General features: G+C 44.3%; 2 pseudogenes, besides 1 other annotated feature; one reads left to right on the forward strand and one right to left on the reverse strand.

Moving 5' to 3' along the window:
- Positions 316-610: an enhancer, noted in NCBI's record as "tiled region #10276; HepG2 Activating DNase matched - State 5:Enh; Region: biological region". NCBI's record gives its function as "activates a minimal TATA promoter and a strong SV40 promoter by Sharpr-MPRA in HepG2 cells {active_cell/tissue: HepG2}" and the evidence as "EXISTENCE:reporter gene assay evidence [ECO:0000049][PMID:27701403]".
- Positions 2,087-2,633, reverse strand: TRMT112P4 (tRNA methyltransferase subunit 11-2 pseudogene 4; annotated as a pseudogene).
- Positions 4,719-6,201, forward strand: LOC100421197 (zinc finger and BTB domain containing 10 pseudogene; annotated as a pseudogene).

Raw genomic sequence — 6,201 nt, forward strand, 5'->3', positions numbered from 1 at the left:
TGAGAAATTCAAGATCAAGGCACTGGCCGGTTTAGTGTCTGATGAGGGTTTGCTCTCTGCTCCACAGATGGCACCTTGTTGCTGCATCCTCACATGGCAGAAGGAGCAAAACCGCTGCCTTCAACCTTTTTAAGGCTGATCCCATTCACGAGAGCAGAGCCTCTGTGATTTAATCACTTCCCAAAAGGTCCCACTTCTTAATACCATTACTTTGGGGGTTAGGTTTCAACATATAAATTGGGGGAAACACCAAAATTCAGACCATAGAGTTCTGCTTCTGGCCGTCCGAAATGTATGTTCTTCTCACATGCAGAATGTATTCATTCCATCCCAGTAGCTCCCCAGGCCTTAACTTGTTCCAGCACCAATTCAAAAGTCTGAGGTCCAAAGTCTCATTTAAATCAAATATGACTGAGACTCAAAGGTGTGACTCATCCTGAGGCAAATTCCCCTTCAGCTGTGAGCCTCTGAAATCAAACAAGTTACATGCTTTGAAAATACAATGGTGGGATAGGCACAGGGCAGACATTTCCTTTCCAAAAGGTAGAAGTAGGAAGGAAGAAAAAGATAATAAATCCTGACTAACTGTAAAACCCAACAGGGCAAATATTAAGGCTCAAGAATAATCTTCGACTTGACATTTTACCTTCTAAACACTTGGGGGGTGGGGGGTAGTCCTGGCCATGACTTTGCTGGGCAAAACCCATATAGCATTTCTCACATATTGGAGTCACATGCCTATGGCTCTCCCAGGCTGGAATTGCACACTGGTGGCTCTACCAGTCTGGGGTCTTGGGGGTGGCTCTGCTCCCACGGTTTCACTGGGCATTGCCATACTGGGGTGGGGGCTGTCTGTGGTGGTCCTGCTCCTGTGATAGTTCTCTGTCTGGGCTCTGAGGCTTTCTGGGGCATCCTTTGAAATCTAAGTGGAGGCAGGCATGCCCTCATGACTTGTGCACTCTGCACTTTGGTAGAGATAGCACTGCACAGACACCACCAAGATTTACTATATTGCCTTCCAGAGAGTGGCCCAAACTGCACATGGGCCTGCGTGAACCATACCTGGGGCAGGTGAGGAGCATTGCAGCAGAATGCAGGAAGTGGAGATTTGAGGCCACCTGGCGTCAAGGTCCTACCGGTTTCCAAGCTTCCTCTTTTGATACAGATATGTTGCCCCCAGCCTTGGCAGTCTGTGCCTATGATAGGAAGGACAGCACAAATAAACACTGAAAGGCCTTTGGTGTCATTCTTTCATTATCTTGATAAATAGCACCTGATTTCTGCCTCACCGTACTAATCTCCTTATCAAACGGTTACTTAGCCACACCCTTGGTGTTCTCTCTTGAACACAGCTTTCCACTCTATACAATATGACCAGGCTGAGAATTTTCCAAATCTTTAAGTTCTGCTTCCACATTTTATTATAAGTAGTCAAAATCCTCAACATTTTGCTTAGAGATTTCTTCTAGAACATGAACATGATTTGGCCAAGTTCTTTTGCCCCTTTGTAACAGAGATCATCTAGTCCTCAGTTGCCAATAACGTGTCCTTCATTTTTGTCTGAGACTTCATCAGAATGGCCTTTACCATCTGTATTTCTGTATTATCAACATTTTGATCACAACCACTTAGGTAATCTCTAAGAAGATGGAGGCTATTTCTACAGCTTCTTCAACCTCACCTTCTTCTGAACCCTCACCTGAGTTGCCCCTAAGGCTCCTTTCATGGCAGTGGACCTGTAAACTCTTTCCATCCTTTATTTATTATGCAGTTCCAAAGCTGCTTTCCCATTTTTAGGTTTTGTTATTAACACACCCTATCTCTCTGTGCCTATTTCTGTCTTTGTTGGTCTCTGCTGCTATAATGAAATGCCTTAGACGGGGTAATTTACGATAGAAATGTATTTCTCACAGTTCTGGAGCCTGGGAGGTCTAAGATCAAGGAACTAGCAGATATGGTCTCTGGTAAGGGCTACTCTCGGCTCCATAGATAGCATCTTGTTTCTGCATCCTCACATGGTGAAGGCGGCAAGGCACCTCCCTTCAACCTCTTTTTTATTTTTATTTTTTTATTTACTTTTTTTTTGTTTGAAACTTTAATGAGAAAAAACATATACTATCGAGCTCAAGAATATGGTGTGTTTGGTGTGCCATTGGGCCAAGGGTTGGGGATACATGTAGCAGAATTAGGAAACAGGATATACATCAACAAAAATTCACACGATCATGAGAAGGAAAACTGGCACTTGGCACAATCAACTCTCAGTTTCCTCATCATTCAGCAGCATATTGGGAACCCTGCGACTGAGGCAGAACACACGTCTAGACTCTGGGCACTGCAGGGTGCCCTCCAACACATCCACCTCCAGCAGCACATGGTACATCTTCCTCAGAAACTGTTCATCCTCCTCATATCCCTCAACTGGCCCTTTAGGCACCCCAGTCAGGTGCAAGGTATGTATCAGCTGCCTCCAGGAGCACCGGTCACTCCTAGGGTATCATACTGTGCCACTAAGTGAGGGTTGAACTCCAGAGGGCAGATGCAGACCTCAGTGGCCTGGAGGTGCAGGGGGAAGCCACAGGGCCCCACCCCCACACATGCAAGCTCAGCAGATTGTCTTCAACCTCTTTCATAAGGGCACTGATCCCAATGAGGGCTTTGCCCATATGGCTTAATCACTTCCAAAAAGGCCCCACCTCTTAATGTCATCACCTTGGGGATTAGGTTTTTAAACATATAAATTTTGGGGGCATTAATATTAAGATCATAGTAATGGGCATATGTGATGTACAAGCCTATCCCTCACATTTGTGGGACCTACAGCAAGAGCAAAAAATGAAAACCTACATACAATATTATAAATATTTAAAATGAAAATCCAGGCACAGTGACTTATGTCTCTAATCCCAGTTACTTGGGAGGCTGAGGCAGAAGGATTGCTTGAAGCCAGGAGTTTGAGACCAGACTGGGCAACATAGTAAGACCCTATCTCTAAAACTTTTTTTTCTTAACAAAAGAAAAAGGTTTAATTGGACTCACAATTCTACATGGCTGGGAGGCCTCACAATCATGATGGAAGGCAAGGGGAGCAAGTCACATCTTACATGGATGGCGGCAGGCTAAGAGAGCTTGTGCAGGGAAACTCCCCCTTATAATACGGTCAGACCTCGTGAGACTTATTTACTATCATGAGAACAGCATGGGAAAGACCTGCCTCCATAATTCAATCATCTCCCATCAGGTCCCTCCCACACACATGGGAATTATGGGAGCTACAAGATGATATTTGGTTGAGTACACAGAGCCAAACTATATCATTCTGCCCCTGGTCCCTCCCAAATCTTTTATCTTCACATTTCAAAACCAATCATGCCTTCCCAACAATCCCCCAAAGGCTCAACTCATTTCAGCATTAACCCAAAAGTCCAAGTCCAAAGTCTCATCTGAGACAAGGCAAGTCCCTTCTGCCTACAAACCTGTAAAATCAAAAGCAAGCTAGTTATTTCCTAGATACAATGGGGGTACAGGCATTGGGTAAATATAGCTATTCCAAATGGGAGAAATTGGCCAAAACAAAGGTGCTACAGGCCCCATGAAAGTCCAAAATCCAGCAGGGTAGTCAAATCTTAAAGTTCCAAAATGATCTCCTTTGACTCCATGTCTTACGTCTGGGTCACACTGATGCAAGAGGTGGGTTCCCATGGTCTTGGGCAGCACTGCCGCTATAGCTTTGCAGGGTACAGCCTCCCTCATGGCTGCTTTCACAGGCAGTTGTGGAGTGTCCTGAGTCTTTTCCAGGCCTACAGTGCAGGCTGTCAGTGGATCTACCACTCTGGGATGTGGAGGACGGTGGCCCTCTTCTCACAGCTCCACTAGCCAGTGCCCCAGTAGGGACTCTGTGTGGGGGCTTTGACCCCACATTTCCCTTCCACATTGCCCTAGCAGAGGTTCTCCATGAGGGCCCCACCTCTGCAGATTTGGGTGGGGACACAGAACCAAACCATATCATTGGGCAAGTCCTATAGGCTGAGAGAAATAGTTAAATAAAGGCCATTTAGAGAAGAGTCAGTTGACCTTAATATCAGAGGGCTCTCAGAAAGATATCTTGGTAAATACTCTTACACCTTTCCCCTTGACTCATAGCAGGACCACTCTAGGCCGGTCAACAGAAAGAATTGATCCTTTTCCCTGTGTGCTGTTTTACCAGAAACTTTACCCTGCTCAGAGCAGGGACACAGATGGGGATATTTTCCAAGCAAATCTCCAGTTTCCCACTTGACTGCTATGTGAGGAACCCCTGTTAAGAGAGGATCTGACCACTGAGCATGACTGGCAGTCTGAAGAGGAGTCTGCAGATGGACCCCATTCCTCACTAAAACCTGAGCATCCCACCCGAAGCCAGTGGCTCACTCCAGTTCTTCCCCACTCTTCCTGTGCCACTCCACACTCAGTTCAAATATTGGCCAGCCACGATGGCTCATACCTGTAATCCCAACACTTCGGGAGGCTGAAGCTGGCAGATTGCTTGAGCCCAGGAGTTTGAGACCAGCCTGGGTAACGTGGCGAAACCCCATCTAGTTCAAAGTGGCTGGGGAGGCTTCACAATTACGGCGGAAGGCAAGGAGGAGCAAGTCAAGTCATATCTTACGTGGACGGCAGTAGTCAAAACAGCCAAAATTTTTTAAAAAAATATAGCTAGTCAGATGACGTACGCTTTTAGTCAGGAATACCATCAGAGGAGGGGTACTGTGAGTTTACTAGCAGACCAAATGAGAACTGTTACTGCTGTCAACTTCTGTGACAACAAAATGAACAAAAAAGAAAGGTAAACTTTGTGGTGTCAGCACTGTAGTAAGCAGAAAATCTGTAAGGCTCCTAAGAACATCCTGGTTGCTGGCAGCCATTTCTTTAAGACTTTATATAGTGTTAAAAACTAAGAAAGCCCTAACCGAAATAATACTACCCACTTAGATACTGCAGCAGTCAAAATTTTTCAGTCCTTGTGGACTTCTTGTATTCTGGTAACCTTGTACTCACAAGCCAAAATAATGACAGTGGCCTATCTTCAAACAAGTGAAATTTCAAACTTGCTGAAATTTTATTACAGATGCCTAAATTTATTAAAGATTAAATATAAGCATTAAATCAGAAGTTCCATGGGTCTGCAGTTGTGGACTATAATAATAGAAAACCAGGCCGGGCATGGTGGCTCATGCCTGTAATCCCAGCACTTTGGGAGGCCAATGTACATGGATCACTTGAGGCCAGGAGTTCAAGATCTGCCTGGCATACATGGCAAAACCCTGTCTCTACTGAAAATACAGAATTAGCCAAGGATGGTGGCTCACGCCTGTAATCCCAGCTACTCGGGAGGCATGAGAATTGCTTGAACCTGGGAAACAAAAGTTGCAGTGAGCCAAAATTGTGCCACTACCCTCCAGCCTGGGTGACAGAGCAAGACTGTCTAAACAAACAAACAAACAAACAAACAAAACTCAGTTAATAGAGATGGTCTGTCTTCATCATTGGATCAAAAAATTGCCAATTTTTGGGCAACATTAAATCTTACCAATTTGGCAAGTAATATAAAAACTGAAAATGATGGCTGTAATGTCAACAAGGGCCAAACAGAAAACTACCAAGTGAGTGACAATAGTTGGGTCCAGAATGCATCTCCTGAAATGGCTGAAAACAAATCCAAAGGTCAAACAAGTGTTTGCTTGGAATAATATGGGCTCCCAGGGAATTCAAGAAACTGGGAAACACGGAGGAAAAACCAAACTACAAGGAGATTTATTTATAATACATCATCTAATAATGAAACAAATTTGGAAGATTACTCAATGATGCAGCCATCTATTGCCTTTTCAGAGGAAAATACGCTACTCATATTTGAGTAGAAATCTTGGAAGAACCAGATTTGGATGTTGCTCTACTTTCAGGGCCAGATGATGATAAGAATGTATTGGCTGAAGCTGGGTCTAATCAAGATGGAGGTGATGTTAGAACTTCACATGATTTTATAATAAGTATGGTTTGATGCCTGGCACTTCAAGTGACTTCAAGTATGAATTGATACCAGATACTTTGATTTCAAATATGGATTATTGCCAGAATCTTGGCCAAAACAAGAAACTTGGGAAAATGGTGAATCATTCATGTTAGGTTGTTCTTGTGTTGCTATAAAGAAATACCTGAGAC

The sequence above is a fragment of the Homo sapiens genome, chromosome 9 (genome assembly GCF_000001405.40).
Source record: "Homo sapiens chromosome 9, GRCh38.p14 Primary Assembly".
Lineage (NCBI taxonomy): Eukaryota > Metazoa > Chordata > Mammalia > Primates > Hominidae > Homo > Homo sapiens.